The sequence below is a fragment of the Homo sapiens genome, chromosome 16 (assembly GCF_000001405.40).
Source record: "Homo sapiens chromosome 16, GRCh38.p14 Primary Assembly".
Taxonomy (NCBI): domain Eukaryota; kingdom Metazoa; phylum Chordata; class Mammalia; order Primates; family Hominidae; genus Homo; species Homo sapiens.
The window spans coordinates 30,493,692-30,515,397 of NC_000016.10; the positions used below are offsets into that span (position 1 = coordinate 30,493,692).

At 49.8% G+C, this 21,706-nt stretch overlaps 1 protein-coding gene, 1 long non-coding RNA gene and 1 other non-coding gene across 9 annotated transcripts in view; 2 read left to right on the plus strand and 1 right to left on the minus strand.

Annotated features, from left to right (window-relative positions):
• Nucleotides 1-21,706, plus strand: part of ITGAL (integrin subunit alpha L) — a 50,444-nt gene that overhangs the window by 20,950 nt on the left and 7,788 nt on the right. For 3 of the 7 annotated variants that reach the window (NM_002209.3, XM_006721044.2, XM_047434072.1), the window contains 14 exons: nucleotides 521-672; nucleotides 1,022-1,159; nucleotides 2,406-2,603; nucleotides 2,745-2,875; nucleotides 5,383-5,543; nucleotides 5,647-5,798; nucleotides 10,484-10,573; nucleotides 11,553-11,609; nucleotides 11,698-11,771; nucleotides 13,024-13,165; nucleotides 16,670-16,780; nucleotides 17,190-17,269; nucleotides 17,359-17,445; nucleotides 20,080-20,155. In NM_002209.3, the coding sequence (NP_002200.2) occupies nucleotides 521-672; nucleotides 1,022-1,159; nucleotides 2,406-2,603; nucleotides 2,745-2,875; nucleotides 5,383-5,543; nucleotides 5,647-5,798; nucleotides 10,484-10,573; nucleotides 11,553-11,609; nucleotides 11,698-11,771; nucleotides 13,024-13,165; nucleotides 16,670-16,780; nucleotides 17,190-17,269; nucleotides 17,359-17,445; nucleotides 20,080-20,155 (1,649 nt within the window). Of the gene's footprint in view, nucleotides 1-520; nucleotides 673-1,021; nucleotides 1,160-2,405; nucleotides 2,604-2,744; nucleotides 2,876-5,382; nucleotides 5,544-5,646; nucleotides 5,799-10,483; nucleotides 10,574-11,552; nucleotides 11,610-11,697; nucleotides 11,772-13,023; nucleotides 13,166-16,669; nucleotides 16,781-17,189; nucleotides 17,270-17,358; nucleotides 17,446-20,079; nucleotides 20,156-21,706 lie in introns of those variants that run through there. The other 4 variants (XM_005255313.1, NM_001114380.2, XM_047434073.1 and 1 more) reach the window with 2 other exon arrangements.
• On the minus strand, nucleotides 4,739-5,863 carry ITGAL-AS1 (ITGAL antisense RNA 1). Its single transcript, NR_186415.1, has 2 exons — nucleotides 5,673-5,863; nucleotides 4,739-5,460 (listed from the first exon to the last, which is right to left on the minus strand). It is a non-coding gene; the product is annotated as an ITGAL antisense RNA 1 (long non-coding RNA).
• MIR4518 (microRNA 4518) lies at nucleotides 10,228-10,310 on the plus strand. The gene has a single exon (NR_039743.1). It is a non-coding gene; the product is annotated as a microRNA 4518 (primary transcript).

A 21,706-nucleotide genomic window follows, 5' to 3' on the forward strand; every position in this document is an offset into this window, starting at 1 on the left:
CCATCCTGGCCAACATGGCAAAACCCTGTTTCTACTAAAAATACAAAAAATTATCTGGGTGTGGTGGCTGGGCGCCTGTAATCCCAGCTATTTGGGAGGTTGAGGCAGGAGAATTGCTTGAACCCGGGAGGCGGAGGTTGCAGTGAGCTGAGATCACGCCATTGCATTCCAGCCTGGGCAAGAGAGCGAGACTCTGTCTCTAAAAAAGAAGAAAGAATGGAGTCTTCCTTACTAATCCTCAGGTAAACTGAGGCTCAGAAGAGGCTCCACGCTCCACTTGTTGTGCATAGCTGCTTTTCCCTGGGTGTGCATGTCACCCACAGTTGAAGACATGCCATCCCCAAGATGGCAGGATTTGTTTGGCTGGGAGCACATGGATGCTTTTCTCAGGAGAAGGTCTTCAGCTGTTTCCATGCATCTCTGCTACTAACCCAATTCCCTGGGGCCCCTGCCCCTCTCCTGCTGGGTGTTCTTCCAGCATCCTGTGTTCCTAACTCCACACCCCACACACTTTCCTCAGGTTACACCGTGACCTGGCTGCCCTCCCGGCAAAAGACTTCGTTGCTGGCCTCGGGAGCCCCTCGATACCAGCACATGGGCCGAGTGCTGCTGTTCCAAGAGCCACAGGGCGGAGGACACTGGAGCCAGGTCCAGACAATCCATGGGACCCAGGTGCGCCCAGTCCGAGGGCATCTGCAGACCAGGGACTGGCGGGACACACATCACACTCCCTTCTGTCCTTTGAATGCTCATCCACTTACCATGTGGCAGCCCCTGTGCTAAACATGATCACATTTATCCCTCATAACACACAGAGGTAAGCCCTGTCATCTCCCTCTCTAGTTTAAGAAACTGAACCTCAAAGAGCCCACCTTGTCTTAACGCACATAGACTAGGGGTGGATCCAAGATTGGAACCTGCATTTGAGGGAGTGGCACAAGATGAACACGGTACAGGTATCTCCCTGCCAACCCCTGCTGTTCCCACAGGCGCTTCCCCAAACACCTGCCTCTCCCCACAGATTGGCTCTTATTTCGGTGGGGAGCTGTGTGGCGTCGACGTGGACCAAGATGGGGAGACAGAGCTGCTGCTGATTGGTGCCCCACTGTTCTATGGGGAGCAGAGAGGAGGCCGGGTGTTTATCTACCAGAGAAGACAGGTGGGGCCAGGATCTGGAGCTGAGAGGGAGGAGGGAGAGCAGCAGAGATTCGCAGCTCCCAGTTATTCTGAAGGCTTTCTCTGTCTGGTCACGTGGCGATCAAACTTTTAGAACGACAGAGAGGCAATAGCAAATCCTCACTGGGGAAAGACTGTATGCAGGGTCCAGTGCCAATATTTCTTTTTTCTTTTGAGACAGAGTCTCGCTCTTATGGCCCAGGCTAGAGTGCAGTGGCACGATCTCGGCTCACTGCAACCTCCACCTCCCAGGTTCAAGGGATTCTCCTGCCTCAGCCTCCCGAGTAGCTGGGATTACAGGCATGTGCCACCATGCCCAGCTAATTTTTGTATTTTTAGTAGACATGGGGTTTCACCATGTTGGTCAGGCTGGTCTCGAACTCCTGACCTCAGGTGATCCACCCACCTCGGCCTCCCAAAGTGTTCGGATTACAGGTGCCTGCCGCCACACCCAGCTAATTTTTGTATTCTTAGTAGAGACCATGTTTCGACATGTGGGCCAGGCTGGTCTCTAATCCTGACCTCAGGTGATCCACCCGCCTCGGCCTCCCAAAATGCTGGGATTACAGGCGTGAGCCGCTGCACCTGGTAGGCAGCGCCAAACTTTTTATAGATATGACCTCCCTTTCCTCATGACCACCTGCTGAGATACTACAAGCTTTATTTTATAAATGGGAATCCCTGGGGTGCGGTGGCTCATGCCTGTAATCCCAGCACTTTGAGAGGCTGAGGCAAGATGATTGCTTGAAGCCAGGAGTTCAAGACCAGCCTGGGCAACATGACAAGACCCTGTTTCTACAAAAATAAAAATAAATAAATTAAAATTTTAAAGTTAGCCAGATGTGGTGGTACATACCTGTAGTCCCAGCTACTTGGGAGGCTGAGGTGGGAGGATCGCTTGAGCCCAGGAGTTCGAGGCTGTAGTGAGCTGCGATTGCACCACTGCACTCCAGCCTGTGCGACAGAGCAAGACTCCATCTCAAAAAAAAATTATCAAAAAAATGTATATATATATAAATGGAAACCCCAAGCTCAGTAGGGGAAACCACAAGGTCACAGTAAGAGGACAGTAAGAGTCTGGGCTGGTGCTTGAACCCTGGTTAGTCTAACAGCACCATTCCAATTCTGTGAGGGACCCCATCTTACGTTTCTTTAGCATTCTTCACTCAGTTGTTCTGTGACAGCATGCTGAGTGACTTGGGTGTGACCTGTCTCTTGCTACTTCCTAGTTGGGGTTTGAAGAAGTCTCAGAGCTGCAGGGGGACCCCGGCTACCCACTCGGGCGGTTTGGAGAAGCCATCACTGCTCTGACAGACATCAACGGCGATGGGCTGGTAGACGTGGCTGTGGGGGCCCCTCTGGAGGAGCAGGGGGCTGTGTACATCTTCAATGGGAGGCACGGGGGGCTTAGTCCCCAGCCAAGTCAGGTGACGTATGCTGCCTGCCAATCACACTCCATTCTCAGGTGCCCTAAGCCCCCAAGCCCAGACCCCACTCCCCAGCCCGATCCTTCCCTCCCTCCAACCTACCTCTCCTCAGCTTAGTGGCAATTTCTTTCTTGCTCTCAGCGGATAGAAGGGACCCAAGTGCTCTCAGGAATTCAGTGGTTTGGACGCTCCATCCATGGGGTGAAGGACCTTGAAGGGGATGGCTTGGCAGATGTGGCTGTGGGGGCTGAGAGCCAGATGATCGTGCTGAGGTGAGATGGGTCTCCCAGGTCACACCTGATGACCCCAGCTCTTATCCTGTTTTGTTTATATTTTATTTTATTTATTTATTTTGGTTTTTTTTAGAGACAGGGTCTCTCTTTGTTGCTCAGGCTGGAGTGCAGTGGCATGATCATAACTCACTGCAGCCTCGAACTGCTGGGCTTAAGTGATCCTCCCACCTCAGCCTCTCGGGTAGCTGAGACTACAGGTGCTCGCCACCACACCTGGCTAATTTTTTTTTTTTTTTTGGTAGCAATGGGGACTTACTTTGTTGCCCCAGCTGGTCTCAAACTCCTGGTCTCAAACTATGCTTTCTCCTCAGCCTCCCAGAGTGCTGGAGTTACAGGCAGGAGCCACTATGCATGGCCTAATTTTTATTTTTTTTAATATATGGTCTTCCAGGCCAGGCACAGTGGCTCACACCTGTAATCCCAGAGACAGCTTACATATTGGAAAACATATAATTAAAAATTAGCAGGGTGTGGCAGCTGGGCACGGTGGCTCACACCTCTAATCCCAGCACTTCGGAAGTCCGAGGCGGGCGGATCACGAGGTCAGGAGATGGAGACCATCCTGGCTAACACGGTGAAACCCTGTCTCTACTAAAAATACAAAAATTAGCCAGGCGTGGTGGCGGGTGCCTGTAGTCGCAGCTACTCGGGAGGCTGAGGCAGGAGAATGGCGTGAACCCAGGAGGCGGAGCTTGCAGTGAGCCGAGATCGCGCCCCTGCACTCCAGCCTGGGTGACAGAGTGAGACTCCGCCTCAAAAAAAAAAAAAGATTAACAGGGTGTGGTGGCTCATGTGGGTAATCCCAGCACTTTGAGAGGCTGTGGCAGGAAGATTACTTGAGCTCAAGAGTTTGAGACCAGCCTGGGCAACACAGTGGGACACCATCTGTACTTTTTTTTTTTCTTTTGAGAGAGAGTCTTGCACTGTTGCCCAGGCCAGAGTGCAGTGGTGCGATCTTGGCTCACTGTAACCTCCACCTCCTGGGTTCAAGCGATTCTCCTGCATCAGCCTCCCAAGTAGCTGGGATCACAGGCATGCACCACCATGCCCTGCTAATTTTTTTGTATTTTTAGTAGAGACGGGGTTTCGCCATGTTGGCCAGGCTGGTTTTGAACTCCTGACCTCAAGGGATCCGCCCGTCTCGGCCTCCCAAAGTGCTAGGATTACAGAGTGAGCCACCGTGCCCAGCCCTTTTCTTTTTTTTTTTTAATTGGCCAGGTATGGTGGTGCATGACTGTAGGCCCAGCTACTTGGGAGGCTAAGGCAGGAGGATGACTTGAGCCTGGGAGGTCGAGGTTGCAGTGAGCTGTGATCATGCCACTGTACTCCAGCCTGAGCTACAGAGTGAGATCCTACCACAAAAAAATAATAAATAGGCCGGATGCAATGACTCATGCCTGTAATCCAGCACTTTGGGAGGCCGAGGTGGGTGGATCATTTGAGGTCAGGTGGACGTGGTTGTGGGGGCCCCTCTGGAGGAGCAGGGGGCTGTATACATCTTCAATGGGAGGCACGGGGGGCTTAGTCAGGAGTTCAAGACCAGCCTGGCCAACCTGTTGAAACCCCATCTCTACTAAAAATACAAAAATTAGCTGGGCATGGTGGCATGCGCCTGTAATCCCAGCTACTCGGGAGGCTGAGGCAGGAGAATTGCTTGAGCCCAAGAGGAGGATCTCAAAAAAAAAAAAAAAAATAGGAGCCAGGCACTGGGGCTCACTCCCGTAATCCCAGCTACACAGGAGTCTGAGACAAGAGGATCGCTGGAGGCCAGGAGTGTGAGGATGCAGTGAGCTATGACTGCACCACTGCACTCCAGCCTGAGCAACAAAGCGAGGCTCTAACAACAACAAAAGCTGCAACTTTATTATGAAGCATAATAAAATTCATGCAAGCATCACTGAAGGCTTAAACATAAGCATGAAAGTAACTCAGTATGATTTCTCTTCCTAAGAGCTTTCTCTTCTTCATGGAAAATGGGTCAGAGGCTGCTAGAATGAACTGGGAGCCCTAATTAGTTATCACCATTATTGGCCAGGCATGGTGGCTCATGCCTATAATCCCAGCACTTTGGGAGCCCAAGCCGGGAGGATTGCTTGAGCTCAGGAGTTCAAGACCACCCTGGACAACATAGGAAGGTCCCTTCTCTACAAAAATTTATTTAAAGTTAGCCAGGTGTGGTGGCACATGCCTGTGGTCCCAGATCCTTGGGAGGCTGAGGTGGGAGGATTACTAGAGCCTGGGAGGCCGAGGCTGTAGTGAGCTGTTATCATGCCACTGCACTCCAGCCTGGGCAACAGGGTGAGACCCTCTCTCAAAATAAATAAATAAAAAGTATCATTATTATTTTCCTTAAGAGGAGACAGTGACATGTTGAGGTCTGCTTTAGGGAAGGAGAGTTCTCTGGCTTTGCTGGCGGGAGCCCCACATCTGAGGGGGGACGTGCAGTTGGGTTGGAGGGAGAGAGTTGGTTGCCTTCTGCCCTGCAGCTCCCGGCCCGTGGTGGATATGGTCACCCTGATGTCCTTCTCTCCAGCTGAGATCCCAGTGCATGAAGTGGAGTGCTCCTATTCAACCAGTAACAAGATGAAAGAAGGAGTTAATATCACAATCTGTTTCCAGATCAAGTCTCTCATCCCCCAGTTCCAAGGTCAGAGCTCTCCTCCTGCTCCCAGGGCAGCTGCCGCCCCAAATCCAGGCTTATGGCCTGGGATCCCCCACCATTTAACTCTTGCCTTTTCCGCCCTGCCCAGGCCGCCTGGTTGCCAATCTCACTTACACTCTGCAGCTGGATGGCCACCGGACCAGAAGACGGGGGTTGTTCCCAGGAGGGAGACATGAACTCAGAAGGAATATAGCTGTCACCACCAGCATGTCATGCACTGACTTCTCATTTCATTTCCCGGTAAGGGAGCCAGCGCCAATGCTCTGGGATGAGCTACCTGCAGGGGCAGGCTCAGCTCCGTCACTGTCCAGTGGGTGACACGTCACTTCCATCCCTCTGTGCTGTCACTTCCTCTCCTGTGCAATGGTAGTAATAACACCCTTAGCATATTTTCTTCTAGTGTTTTTTTTAAATTATATATATATGTGTATATATATGTATATATATGTGTATATATATATATGTATATATATATATATATATATTTTTTTTTTTTTGACACAGAGTCTCGCTCTGTCACCCAGGCTGTAGTGCAGTGGCACGGTCTCACTTACTACAGCACGATCTCGGCTCATGGCCACCTCCACCTCCTGGGTTCAAGCAATTCTCCTGCCTCAGTCTCCCGAGTACCTGGGATTACAGGCACCTGCCACTATGCCTAGCTAATTTTTGTATTTTTGGGAGAGATAGGGTTTCACCATGTTAGTCAGGCTGGTCTCGAACTCCTGACCTCTGGTGATCTGCCTGCATTGGCCTCCCAAAGTGCTGGGATTACAGGCATGAGCCATCGCTCCTGGCCTATTTTATATTATTTATTTATTTATTTATTTATTTATTTATTTATTTATTTATTTGAGACAGAGTCTCGCTCTATCACCCAGGCTGGAGTGCAGTGGCATGATCTCGGCTCACTACAGCCTCTGCCTCCCGGGTTCAAGCGATTCTCCTGCCTCAGCCTCCCGAGTAGCTGGGATTACAGGTGCATGCCACCATGCCCAACTAATTTTTATATTTTTAGTAGAGTTGGGGTTTCACCATGTTGGCCAGGCTGGTCTCGAACTCCTGACCTCAGGTGATCCTCCTACCTCGGCCTCCCAAAGTGCTGGGATTGCAGGCATGAGCCACTGCCCCCGGCCATATTTTATATTTTTAGAGATGGGGGTCTTACTTTGTTGCCCAGGCTGGACTCTAACTTCTGGCCTCAAGAGGTTCTCTTGCCTCAGCTTCCTGAGTAGCAGGGACTACAAGTGCACACCACTGTGCCTGGCTGCTTCTAGGTTTTTAATTTTTTTAATTTTTTATTAAAAAAATTTTTTTAGAGACAGGGCCTTGCTCTATCGTCCAGGCTGGAGTGGAGTGATGCAATCATGGCTCACTGTAGCCTCCAACTTCTGGGCTCAAATGATCCTCCCACCTCAGCCTCCCGAGTAGCTAGGACTACAGGCATGCACCACCACATCTGGATAATTTTTAAAAATGTTTTTGTAGGCCAAGCGCGGTGGCTCAGCACTTTGGGAGGCCAAGGTGGGTGGATCACCTGAGGTCAGGAGTTCGAGACCAGCCTGGCCAACATGGTGAAACCCCATCTCTACTAAAAATACAAAATTAGCTGCGTGTGTTGGCACATGCCTGTGATCCCAGCTACTTGGGAGGCTGAGGCAGGAGAATTGCTTGAACCCAGGAGGCAGAGGTTGCAGTGAGCCAAGATCGTGCCATTGCACTCCAGCCTGGGCAACAAGAGTGAAACTCCATCTCAAAAAAAAAAAAAATAGTTTTTGTAGAGACAAGGTCTTGCTGTGTTGCCCAGGCTGGTCTAAAACCCTTGGCATCAAGTAATCCTCTTACCTTGGCCTCCAAAAGTGCTGGGATTACGGGCATGAGCCACCGTGCCCAGCAGCTTCTACTTTTTAATATATTTATGGGCATTTTTAACATGATTACAATGGCAATGTAGTTACTATTTTTCCCTACTCTTTTCATACATTATATATTAATGCTGCTACACAGCTTTCATAATTTTTAATTATGAAATATTAAAATGTTTGGCTGGGCACGGTGGTTCATACCTGTAATCCCAGCACTTTGGGATGCCGAGGTGGGCAGATCACCTGAGATTGGCAGTCCAAGACCAGCCTGGCCAACATGGAGAAACCCCATCTCTACTAAAAATGTACAAAATTAGCTGGGCGTGGTGGCCCATGCCTGTAATTCCAGCTACTTGGGAGGCTGCGGCAGGAAAATCACTTGAACCCAGGAGATGGAGGTTGCAGTGAGCCGAGATCGTGCCATTGCACTCCAGCCTGAGCAACAAGAGTGAAACTCCATCTCAAAAAAAAAAAAAAAAATTAAAATATTTAATTTTTACAGAATATTCAATCATCATGGTATGTTGTTATTTGCCAGGTACATATCATGCATCCCAGAAAAACTTAGGGATTTTTTAAAGTTTTTAAATTAAGTCTCATGTATGGTACATGGAAAAAAAAAGTTTTTAAAAAAGTTAAAACAGGCCAGGCACGGTGGCTCATGCCAGCACTTTGAGAGGCTGAAGTAGGTGGATTGCTTGAGCTTAGGAGTTCAACACCAGCCTGGGCAACATAGCGAGACCCCTTCTCTACAAAAAACACCAAAAAATTAGCCAGCCTTGGTGGAGCGCACCTGTAGTCCCAGCTACCTGGGAGGCTGAAGCAGGAGGATTGCTTGAACCCAGGAGGTGGAGGTTGCAATGAGCTGTGATTGTGCCACTGCACTCCAGCCTGGGCAACAGAATGAGACTCTGTCTCCAAAACAATAAAGTTTGAACAACTGTTGAAATACCCAGATTCAGTTGCTTATAAGCAATCCTGTATAAAAATGGGATTAATATGGCCGGGCGCGGTGGCTCACGCCTCTAATCCCAGCACTTTGGGAGGCCAAGGTGGGCGGATCACGAGGTGAGGAGATTGAGACCATCCTGGCTAACACGGTGAAACCCCGTCTCTACTAAAAATACAAAAAATTAGCTGGGCGTGGTGGTGGGGGCCTGTAGTCCCAGCTACTTGGGAGGCTGAGGCAGGAGAATGGCATGAACCCGGGAGGCGGAGCTTGCAGTGAGCCGAGATCGCGCCCCTGCACTCCAGCCTGGGCGACAGAGCAAGACTCCATCTCAAAAAAAAAAAAAAAAAAAAAAAAGGATTGATATCAAATTGTTATGTTCTCTTAAATATTTCATAAAAGGCCAGGCATGGTGGCTCATGCCAGTAATCCCAGCACTTTGGGAGACTGAGGTGGGCGGATCACTTGAGGTCAGGAGTTCAGGACCAGCCTGGTCAACATGGTGAAAACCCATCTCTACTAAAAATGCAAAAAATTAGCCAGGTGTGGTGGCAGGCGCCTGTAATCCCAGCTACTCAGGAGGCTGAGGCAGGAGAATCATTTGAACCCAGGAGGCGGAGGTTGCAGTGAGCTGAGATTGTGCCATTGCATTCCAGCCTGGGCAATGATAGTGAAACTCCATCTCAAAAAAAAAAAAAAATTCATATAAGACAGTATAGGATTGGGACATAAGAATTTGAAGTTTGTTTTAAACTTTTTTTTTTTTTTGAGATGGAGTCTCACTGTGTTGCCCAGGCTAGAATGCATTGTTATGATCTGGGCCCACTGCAGCCTCTGCCCTCCTGGGTTCAAGTAATTCTCCCACCACATCCTACCAAGTAGCTGGGATTACAGGTGAACACCACCATGCCTGGCTAATTTTTGTATTTGTGATAGAGATGGGTTTTCACCATGTTGGCCAGGCTGGTCTCAAACTCCTGACCTCAGGTGATCCACCCACCTCGGCATCCCAAAGTGCTGGGATTACAGGTGTAAGCCACTGCACCCAGCCTGTTTTAAACTTTTTATTATGAGAATATGAATCACACAAAACTAGAAAAAAAATAGTTTAATGAATCCCCAGGTCCTCATCACCCAGTTTCAACAATTATCGACTCACCCTCTATTTCATTCAAACCTCTACTCAGTGCCCCTCTGCCTACTCCCATTCCACCTCTTATAAGATTTAGACATTTTAAACATAAATTTGCCAGAAAAGAAAGCAGTGTGACATGGTGGAAAGATCCTGGACTTTGGATTTGGACAGATTTGGGTTCAAATCTTGACTGTCACTCCAAGCTCTTAGGACAACTGTGCCACCTTTTTAGTTTTCATTTTCTTTTTTTTTTTTTCTTTTCTAGAGGGGGACAGAAGGAGGGAGGATGAAAGAGAAAGAGAAAGAAAGGAGGGAAGGAAGGAAGGACAACGGAGGAAGGAAGGAAGGGAGGGAGGGAGGGAGGCAGGCAAGGAGGGAGGGAGGGAAAAGAAGAAAGAAAAAAAGAAAAGAAAGAAGGAGAGAAGGAAGGAAAAGAGAAGAAAGAAAAGGAAGGAAGGGAGAGCTCATTTTCCTTATTTTAAATGTTGGGGTAATAATACCTACCTCTTAGGGCTAGTAGAACCTTCAGGTGAAAAACAATTTGAGTACCTACAAAATGCCAGTGTCAGGCATTGGTAATAGCAAATGACTAAGACCCAGCCCTATTCTCAAGGAACAAAATTCTAGAACTAGGATATTCTAGTTATTCTGAAATTTTCTTAAGCAAACTTTGATAATGGCTGCCTAGGTCAAAATTCAGGGGCTTCAGTTAGGACACAGTGGGGGAAAAGTGCTGGGATTGATTAGTGATGTCTGCTGGGGAACCGGGGCTCAGGGATGATAACTGTGCTGAGAAGCCCCCTGGGTGTGCTGTACACACCTGCTATGTAGTCAATGGATTTTCAATACTGGTAGGGTCTTAGACAAAGAACTACCAGAATTTCATCACTTGTAAAATGCTGACAAGGTATACATCTAATCGGAAGTGCGGTAAAAGTTAGATTCATGACATAGGCTGTATTCTTATCACCCTCAGGTATGTGTTCAAGACCTCATCTCCCCCATCAATGTTTCCCTGAATTTCTCTCTTTGGGAGGAGGAAGGGACACCGAGGGACCAAAGGGCGGTAAGAAGAGATGGCTAGGGATGGTGGGGAGTTTATCAGAGAAATCCATTTGGCAAGAAGAGCCGCCCATGGCCGGGCAGCACACTCCTATAATCCCAGCACTTTGGGAGGCTGAAGTGGGTGGATCACTTAAGGTCAGGGGTTCAGGACCAGCCTGGCCAACATGGTGAAACCCCATCTCTACTAAAAATACAAAGATTAGTCGGGTGTGATGGTGCACTTGAGGCCAGGAGTTTGAGACCAGCCTGGGCAACATAGTGGGACTCCCTTTCTACAAAACATAAAAAATTAGTTATTGTGATGGTGCGCCCCTGTAGTCCCAGCTACTTGGGAGGCTGAGCAGGGAGGATCACTTGAGCCAGAGGGTTGAGGCTGCAGTGAGCTATTGAGCTATGATTGCACCACTGCCCTCCAGCCTAGGCAACAGCACGAAACCCTGTCTCTAAAGAAGAAAAAAAAAAAAAAGAGCCGGCCGGGTGTTGTGGCTCACACCTGTAATCCCAGCACTTTGGAAGGCTGAGGGGGGTGGATTGCTTGAGACCAGGAGTTCGAGACCAGTGTGCCAACATGGCGAAAACCCATCTCTACTAAAAATATTTTTAAAAAATTAGCCAGGCGTGGTGGTAGATGCCTGTAATCCCAGCTACTCAGGAGGCTGAGGCATAAGAATCGCTTGAACCCAGGAGGCAGAGGTTGCAGTGAGCAGAGATTGTGCCACTGCACTCCAGCCTGGGCAACAGAGTAAGACAGTCTTAAAAAAAAAAAAAAAAAAGAGCTGCCAGCAGAGTAAGACTGCACAAATGGCAGTAGGCTGAGGCAGCAGAGTGGGGCAGCCCTGGAAAGGCAGCTGGCTCCTGGGCAGGGCCAACCACAGCCAGCCCAGTTGAGCTAAGCCCCTGCCCCTCCAGCTCTCCTTCATGAGGTCTGCTGCCTCAGTTAATCTCTCCTCTCTCCATCCTGCCCACTACCCCTCGCTCAGCAGGGCAAGGACATACCGCCCATCCTGAGACCCTCCCTGCACTCGGAAACCTGGGAGGTAAGAGGGGAGAAGGGGCAGGCAGAGAGGCCTGGGAACAAGTCCCTCCTGATCTGAGCCTGTTACTCCTTTCTTCTTGGTGTTTCAGATCCCTTTTGAGAAGAACTGTGGGGAGGACAAGAAGTGTGAGGCAAACTTGAGAGTGTCCTTCTCTCCTGCAAGGTCAGTAAGGCCTCCCACCCTCCAGCCTCCCATCCACTCTGTTTTAAGACCCCCCACTCCACTCACCAGATATGTCATTTGCAGACACCACTTCCCTCTCTTGGGCCTTAGTTTCCTTTTCTGAGAAATTTGAGGCTGAACTCAGGGGCTCATGCCTATAATCCCAGCACTTCAGGAGGCCAACCAAAGGGGGAAGATTCGTTAAGGCCAAGAGTTCAAGACCAGCTATGGGAAACATAGCAAGACCCTGTCACTAAAAAAAAATTTAAAAATTAGCTGGGCACGGTGGCTCATGCCTGTATTCCCAGCTACTTGGGAGATTGAGGCAGAGGATGGCTTGAGCCAGGAGTTTGAGGCTGCAGTAAGCACCACTGCACCCCAGCCTGGGTGACAGAGCAAGACTCTATCTCTAAAAAATAAAAAGCAAATAAAATAAAAAGCAAATCCCTCATGGAACTCCTATCAGTCATCAGTAAATGAGATTGCAAGAATTGTAAAACTGAAAGTCTGAGCATGGCCTGGCGCGGTGGCTCACGCCTATAATCCCAGCACTTTGGGAGGCCAAGGCGGGCAGATCACCTGAGGTCAGGAGCTCGAGGCCAGCCTGGCCAACATGGTGAAACCCTGTCTCTACTGAAAATACAAAACTTAGCCAGGCATGGTGGCACGTGCCTGTAATCCCAGCTATTTGGGAGGCTGAGGCAGGAGAATTGCTTGAATTCTGGAGGTGGAGGTTGCAGTAAGCCGAGACTGTGCCATTGCACTCCAGTCTGGGCTACAGAGTGAGATTCTGTCTCAATAAAAAAAAAAAAAAAAGCCGGGGGCGGTGGCCTGTAATCCCAGCACTTTGGGAGGCCGAGGCGGGCGGATCACGAGGTCAGGAGATTGAGACCATCCTGGCTAACACAGTGAAACCCCGTCTCTACTTAAAATACAAAAAAAAAAAATTAGCCGGGCATGGTGGTGGGCGCCCGTAGTCCCAGCTACTCGGGAGGTTGAGGCAGGAGAATGGCGTGAACCCGGGAGGCGGAGCTTGCAGTGAGCCAAGATCGCGCCACTGCACTCCAGCCTGGGTGACAGAGTGAGACTCCATCTCAAAAAAAAAAAAAAAAAAAAAAAAAAAAAAAAAAAAGACTGAGCATAAAAGATGATTGGTTTTGATTTATTTCTTTCTGGCCCACCAGATCCCTCAGTTCTGATATTCCCCACCCTGATCCTCCCTCCTCCATCTTTCCCTGATCATCCCCCACAGATCCAGAGCCCTGCGTCTAACTGCTTTTGCCAGCCTCTCTGTGGAGCTGAGCCTGAGTAACTTGGAAGAAGATGCTTACTGGGTCCAGCTGGACCTGCACTTCCCCCCGGGACTCTCCTTCCGCAAGGTGGAGATGCTGAAGGTGGGTGAGAGGACAGCGCCTGCCTGCGGGCATCTGTTCGGCAGACACTGCCCCCTTCTTTGAGCCCCAGGCAGCCAGGACAGCCTGAACACATGGGCAGCTGCGGGTGGACAGGGGTCTTAGGGTCATATCTGGGTTCCCAGCCTCGAGCTGTATGATCCGAGGTACCAGGTTTACCCTCTCAGGCTGGGTGCGGTGGCTCACAACTGTAATCCCAACACTTTGGGAGGCCAAGGCGGGCAGATCACCTGAGGTCGGGAGCTCGAGACCAGCCTGGCCAACATGGTGAAACCCTGTCTCTACTAAAAAAATACAAAAATGGGCCGGGCGTGGTGGCTCACGCCTGTAATCCCAGCACCTTGGGAGGCCGAGGCGGGCGGATCACGAGGTCAGGAGATCGAGACCATCCTGGCTAACACGGTGAAACCCCGTCTCTACTAAAAATACAAAAAATTAGCCGGGCGAGGTGGCGGGCGCCTGTAGTCCCAGCTACTCGGGAGGCTGAGGCAGGAGAATGGCATGAACCCCAGGGGGCGGAGCCTGCAGCGAGCCGAGATCGCGCCACTGCACTCCAACCTGGGCGACAGCGAAACTCCGTCTCAAAAAAAAAACAAAAAAAAAAACAAAAAAAAAACCCACAAAAATTATCCAGGCGAGGTGGTGTGCGGCTGTAATCCCAGCTACTAGGGAGGCTGAGGCAGGAGAATCGTTTGAATCTGTAAGGCAGAGGCTACTGTGAGTCAAGATTGTGCCACTGCACTCCAGCCTGGGTGATAGAGCAAGACTCCATCTCAAAAAAAAAAAAATTTAAATAGAGAGAGGGTCTCACTATGTTCCCCAGGCTAGTCTCAAACTTCTGAGCTCAAGCGATCTGCCTACCTCAGCCTCCCAAAGTGCTAGGATTACAGGTGTGAACAAGTGTGCCCGGCCAAATTTCCTTCCTTTTTAAGGTTGAATAATATTCCATTTTATGCATAGACCATATTTTACCTATTTATCTGTCAATGAACACTTGAATTATTCTTTTTATTTTTTTATTTTCTTTAAATTTATTTATTTATTTATTTTCTGAGACGGGGTCTCGCTCTGTCACCCAGGCTGGAGTGCAGTGGCGCGATCTCGGCTCACTGCAAACTCCACCTCCCGGGTTCACGCCATTCTCCTGCCTCAGCCTCCCGAGTAGCCGGGACTACAGGCGCCCACCACCACGCCCAGCTAATTTTTTGTATTTTTAGTAGAGACGGGGTTTCACTGTGTTAGCCAGGATGGTCTCGATCTCCTGACCTCATGATCCACCCGCCTCAGCCTCCCACAGTGCTGGGATTACAGGCGTGGGCCACCACGCCCGGCCTATTTTTTTTTTTTTTTTTTTTTGAGACGAAGTCTTGCTCTTGTCCCCCAGGCTAAAGTGCAATGGCGCAATCTCGGCTCACTGCAACCTCCGCCTCCCAGGTTCAAGTGATTCTCCTGCCTCAGCCTCCCGAGTAGCTGGGATACAGGCGCCTGCCACCACACCCAGCTAATTTTTATATTTTTAGTAGAGATGGGGTTTCACCATGTTGGCCAGGCTGGTCTTGAACTCCTGTCCTCAGGTGATCTACCCGCCTTGGCCTCCCAAAGTGCTGGGATTACAGGCGTGAGCCACTGCACCCAACCGAATTATTCTTATACAGCAACATTAAATGTTTCTTTGCTGGATGTGGTGGTGCGCACCTGCAATTCCAGCTACCTTGGGGGCTGAGGTGGAGAAGTGCTTAAGCCCGAGAGTTCGAGGCCGCTGTGAGCTATGATCATGCCAATGCACTCTAGCCTGGGCAACAGAACAATACTCTGTCTCTACACAAAATTAAATAATTAGCCAGGTGTGGTGGGGTGTGCCTGTAGTCCTGCTACTCAGGAGGCTGAGGTGGGTGGATCGCTGGAGTCCAGGAGTTTGAGGCTGCAGTGAGCTATGATTACAACATTGCCCTCCAGCTTGGGCGACAGAGCGAGACCTTGTCTCAGGAAAAACAAAAAACAAAAAACAAAAAAAAAACTGGGCTGGGTGTGGCGGTTCACGCCTGTAATCCCAGTACTTTGGGAGGCTGAGGTGGGCAGATCATCTGAGGTCATGAGTTCAAAACCAGACGGGGCAACATGGTGAAACCCCATCTCTACTAAAAATACAAAAATTAGCTGGGTGTGGTAGCATGTGCCTGTAATCCCAGCTGCTTGGGAGGCTGAGGCAGGAGAATCACTTGAACCCAGGAGGTGGAGGTTCAGTGAGCCAAGATCACTCTACTGCACTCTAGCCTGGGTGACAACAGCAAGACTCCATCTCAAAAAAAAAAAAAAAAGAGAGAGAGAGAGAGAAAATAACTGGAGTCAAACAGTTCTGTGTTCAAGTTCTTACGGATCCCTACTGTTACCCAGTTATGACACCTTGGGAAAGTCCCTTAGCCTCCCTGAACCTGTATTTCCTTATCTGTTTCCTTCCCAGTCTGAGACTGAAATCTGTCCTTTACAAAATTGGGATGAAGATGAATGGTTTAATAATGCTTAGCCCAGGATCAGGCTCATTTTTTAAATGGTTACTGAATGTATAGAGGTAGTGGCATTTTAAAAACTTCACGATAGTCTCTTCTTTGATTGTACCACACTTTACTGAGCCGTTGTTATCTCTTTGACCTGTTTGAGCACTTCCAGTTTTTCAGTATTATAAATAGTGTTGCAATTACCCCCCTACACCCAACTTTTATTTTTGAGATAAGGTCTCACTCTGTTGCCCAGGCTAAAGTATAGTGGCATAAGCATGGCCCACTGCAGCCTCAAACTCCTGGGCTCAAGTGATTCTCCTGCCTAATAGCTGGGACAACAGGCACGCCCCACTATGCTCAGCTCATTTTAAAAAATTTTTTGTAGGCCAGGTACAGAGGCTTACACTTATAATCCCAGCACATTGGTAGGCTGAGGCAGGCAGATCTCTTGAGCCCAGGAGTTCAAGAGCAGCCTGAGTGACATACACAGGCTCCATCTCTACTAAAAATACAAAAATTAGCTGGACATGGTGGCACATCCCTGTAGTCCCAGCTACTCGGGAGGCTGAGGCAGGAGGATCGCTTGAGCCTGCGAGTCAGAGGTTGCAGTGACCCGAGATCGCACCATTGCACTCTAGCCTGGGCAACAGAGTAAGATCCTATATTTAAAAAAAAAAAAAATTTTTTTTAATAGAGATGGGGTCTCACTCTTGCCCAGGCTGATCTCGAACTCCTGGCCTTAAGTAATCCTCCCACCTCAGCCTCCCTGAGTGCTGGGATTTCAAGTGTGAGCTACCTTACCCAGCCTTCCAGTGACTATTTTGTACTAAGCCTCTGTCTGCAGCCCTGATTCTTGGGCCCTTTCCCGCTGAGAAGGTTCCATGACAGGGACAGAGCCCCTGGGGGAGGTAGGCCAGGAGGGCTGGTGGCCTCTGGGGGAAACTTGGCCTTGCTCATTAACAAACTTGTTTCCTCCTTTCACTCCCAGCCCCATAGCCAGATACCTGTGAGCTGCGAGGAGCTTCCTGAAGAGTCCAGGCTTCTGTCCAGGGCATTATCTTGCAATGTGAGCTCTCCCATCTTCAAAGCAGGCCACTCGGTGAGTGCTTCAAGTCTCCAGGGACCAAGCAGCCTAGGGGCCCTGAGCTGGTGGAGGGCAGGGAGCTCTTGGCTCAGGAGAAGGGAGCAGGTGATTGTCAAGAAGGGTGTACCTTGCCCCTACCTAAGAGAAATGTATGTGAATCTGTTCTGTGTCATGTTTGAGAGCCTGGACTTTAGAATCAGGCAAAGCTGGGATTGGGTTATTCATTTTGTGACCTTATAGACATAACTTAACCGTCTGGAGCCTTGGTTGCCTCATCTTTGCAATGGGTAGAATCCTAGCTCAGTGCTTGGGGTGCAGTGAGCACTTGATAAGGGGTCCCTGAGATGATGGTGATTAGATGTGGGGGCCATGAGGCTGCTCCTCATGACCCTTCCATTTCCATTGCCCTCTCCTTTCCTGCCAGGTTGCTCTGCAGATGATGTTTAATACACTGGTAAACAGCTCCTGGGGGGACTCGGTTGAATTGCACGCCAATGTGACCTGGTGAGCAGGCCCCGCCCACATCCCTGCCATGGTCTCAGACCTGGCCAAGCCCTTCTCCTAACACTGGCCTCTTCCTTGCCCCAATGCAGTAACAATGAGGACTCAGACCTCCTGGAGGACAACTCAGCCACTACCATCATCCCCATCCTGTACCCCATCAACATCCTCATCCAGGAGTAAGTTCTTCCCAGCAGACAGCCAACCCTCTCCTCCCACCGCAGCCTCCCAACCCAGGGCCCCGACTTTGCTCCTGGGGCTCTCCTTCTGAACCTCCTTCCTTTCTTAGAGCCCCTTGGGGTAATTAGAACTGATTCCAGCCACAACCCCAAAAGTTTTCAACATTCCAAAATGTGAGGGCCATGGAAGAGCTCAGGGAAGGATTAGCATTTACTGATGGAAGAAAAAGCTCATTGAACACTAATTTTATGTCAGACTGAGGGCCAGCTGCACTGCGCAGTTGCTGACATTGCCTGGAGCCCTCAGCACCTCTGTGAGGCAGCTGTGCCGCTCTCCATTTTACCAATGAACAAGCTGAGGCTCAGAGAAGGCCGGCACTTACCCAAGGTCCAATAGCTGGAAGTACTAAAGCCAGGGTCTGAGCTTCAGCCTGTCTGACTCCAAAGGCCCAGCCAAGCTCCTGACTGTTTCAGTCACCCTAGATTCTCTCCCCTCCTGGGGGCCGATAATGCCAGGAGAGATAGGAGAAAAGTTATCACAATACCCCTTGCCCTCAGGGAGCTTACAGTCAAGTGGGAGAGCCCAAACTCATGCACACACAGAGTCAGTGACTCTCAGAACACAGTAGCAGGAAGGAACCATGGGGATCGCTAGTTGGGTTTGTAACTGAACTCTGGTCTGGCTGCTTGTTACTTGAAAGCCAGACTTAAGAAGCAAGAGTTGGTGGGAGGAAAGGCAGGTTTATCTGGAAAGCCAGGCAATTGAGAAGACAGTGAACTAGTGTTCTAAAGGACCATCTGTAATGTTAAGGGTAGGGGGAAGAGAAAGGGGTTAAGATCAAGAGGTAACTTAGCACAGACATCTGGGCACCAGAGAGGATACAAGGAGGTTGGGAACTTCTTGGTCCTTGGTCAGGTCACAGTGCTTCTATAAATCTTTAACAAAACATAGTTAGTTGTTTACAAACGTCCCCTTTAATGCCAGACTTAGTTTTAAAAACTACATGATAGCTGTTTTTGCATGTTATCTCAGTGCTCTAAAATTATCCTAGCCTATGGGCAGGAATGGGTAAAGGCCTCTTCAACAAAAATGGAGGGAGTTATGTCCGTTTTTTGCTATTTCAAAAAAACCTGTTACAGGTCTTCTCGCTTATAGAAAAGGAAACTTGGCCAGGTGTGGTGGCTCACACCTGTAATCCTAGTAATTTGGGAGGCCAAGGTGGGTGGATCACTTGAGGTCAGTAGTTCAAGACCAGCCTGGCCAACATGGTGAAACCTTGTCTCTACTAAAAATACAAAAATTAGCTCGGCGTTGTGGCAGGCACCTATAATCCCAGCTACTCAGGAGGCTGAGGCAGGACAATTGCTTGAACCCGGGTGGAGGAGGTTGCAGTGAGCCGAGATCATGCCACTGCCCTCCAGCCTGAGTGACAGAGTGAGACCCTGTGTGAAAAAAAAAAAAAAGGAAACTCAAAATCGAGTGGCTTTTTCCAGTTGGCTCAGTTACAGAAGGACAGAGAAGGACGGGGACAGTGTCTGAGCTCAGGTCTCTAGTGCTTTTTAAATTTTTTTTATTTTTTAAGAGACAGAGTCTCGCTCTGTTGCCCAGGCTGGAGTGCAGTTGCACAATCTCGGCTCACTGCAACCTCCTCCTCCAGGGTTCAAGCAATTCTCCTGCCTCAGCCTCCCGAGTAGCTGGGACTACAGGTGCCTGCCACCATGCCCAGCTAATTTTTGTATTCTTAGTAGAGACAGGGTTTCGCCATGTTGGCCAGGCAGGTCTTAAACTCCTGAACTCAGGTGATCTACCTGCCTCAGCCTCCTGAAGTGCTGGGATTACAGGCGTAAGCCACCGCGCCTGGCCTCCAGTGCTTTTGAACATCAATGCCACACAGTATGATACTGACATGAAATTAGAGCCAGGAAAGATGAGTGTGGGTTGGGGGAGAAATGGAAGAGTTCGTGGAGAAAGTGCGGCTTGGACTGGGGTCTGGAGGATGAGGCCATTAGGGGAAGAGCTAAAAAGGAACCTAGATGTCCTCATCAGAGACCATGGCCCAGACAAAGGCAAGGAGGGAGGAAGCAGTGGGGCATACCTGGGGGACAGGGATTGGGCAGGATTAGCCAAGGGCAGGTGTGTGCAGGGGAGCAGTGAGGAGACTGCCTGGACATGGGAGGCTTTGGACCTGACCCTCCCTCGCAGTAGGGGGCCGTTGGCCAATGCTGAGCAGGTGAGTGGCAGGACTAGAGAGTGATGTTGGGAAGGTCACCCAGCAGTGTGTGTTGGAAGGATGGGTGCGAGGGGCATCAGCAGTGGATACGATTATCTAGGAGATGAGCAGGGCCCAGAGGACAGTGGAGACACTGGTGAGGTGGCGCGCAGTGGGGAGGACATAGCCTCCACTGGACACACTTCCCTGGGCTCCAGTCCTGTCTCTCCACTGTGGAGAAGCTTTGGACAAGAGGCTGGCCCTGTCCAGGAGCCTTAGTTTCTGGGAAAGAGCAGGTTGTGGTAGGGATTGAATGAGATGGTATCTGTGCCGTTCCTAGCACAGTGGCTGGGCGCTCAGAAGCTTCCTGGAGCCCGGGTTGCTGTCACTTCGTTCTTCCATCGCTGCCCTTCTCTCTCCGCAGCCAAGAAGACTCCACACTCTATGTCAGTTTCACCCCCAAAGGCCCCAAGATCCACCAAGTCAAGCACATGTACCAGGTATGAATCCCAATGTGGAAGGTCCTTATAGGTCACACATTCATTCTTTATCCCGGGGACTGAGGATGCAGGCACCAAGTAGACACAGTACTCATCCTAGCCATCCAACTGTTCAATAATCCTTTCTCTAGAGTGTCACAGCCTCCACTTACAGGCTTCCAGCAGCAGCATATGCTAACTCCTTTCTGCCACTGGATGCATTATTTCAAGAATCACAGGACTTGAGAGCAAGGAGGATGCTGAGAGAGAACCTGCTTTTTCATAACAACACTGAATGAGCTACTATTCTTTGCTCTGTTTGTTACCCAGGCTTGAGTGCAGTGGTGCAATCTCGGCTCACTGCAAACTCTGCCTCCCAAGTTCAAGCAATTCTCCTGTCTCAGCCTCCCAAGTAGCTGAGATTACAGGCATCCACCACCATGCCCAGCTAATTTTTTTTTTTTTTTTTGAGACGGAGTCTCACTCTGTCACCCAGGCTGGAGTGCAGTGGCACGGTCTCAGCTCACTGCAACCTCCGCCTCCTGAGTTCAAGCCATTCTCCTACCTCAGCCTCCCAAGTAGCTGGGATTACAGGCATGTGCCACCATGCCCGGCTAATTTTTGTATTTTTAGTAGAGATGGGGTTTTACCATGTTGGCCAGGCTGGTCTTGAACTCCTGACCTCGTGATCTTCCCCCCTCGTGGCCTCTCAAAGTGCTGGGATTACAGGCATGAGCCACCGCACCCGGCCCTATGCCCAGCTAACTTTTGTATTTTTTGTAGAGGCGGAGTTTTGCCCTGTAGGCCAGGCTGGTCTGGAACTCCTGACTTCAAGTGATCTACCCACCTCAGCCTCCCAAAGTACTAGGACTACAGGCATGAGCCACCACACCTGGCCTATTCTAAGTTAGGTATTTAGCTAGGTGCTGGCATCCTGCCCAGTCTCCAAACCCAGGTTCTGTGCCTGGTGCTTTATTTTTACCTTTTCTTTTTTCTTTTCTTTTTTTTTTTTTTTTTGAGGTAGAGTCTTGCTCTGTCACCCAGGTTGGAGTGCAGTGGCGTAATCTCAGCTCACTGCAACCTCCGCCTCCTGGATTCAAGCAATTCTCCTGCTTCAGCCTTCTGAGTAGCTGAGATTACAGGCGCCCACCACCACGCCAGGCTAATGTTTGTATTTTTAGTAGAGAGAGGGTTTCATCATGTTGGCCAGGCTGGTCTCAAACTCCTGACCTCAGGTGATCCGCCCACCTCGGCCTCCCAAAGTGCTGAGATTACAGGCGTGAGCCACTGTGCCTGGCCTGGTCTCAACATATTCTAAACCAAATTTGCTGTCTTCCCCTAAGCCAGCATCTCCTCTGGCTTGCGTGGAATCTTTTGAAAGCACCATCTCTTTCTCAAGGAAAACTTAACGTGTCTGGGTGAATTTCTCCTTCCTCCTGCTTTGTCCCACTGCCTGCTGGAGTCTGGTTGTCTGTGTCCTTTTTCTGCTACCGCCCAGACCCAATTCCTCACCTTCTTGCAACTGGACTATTGAGAGAGGCTCCCAACATGGGCCATGACCCGCCTCTCCCA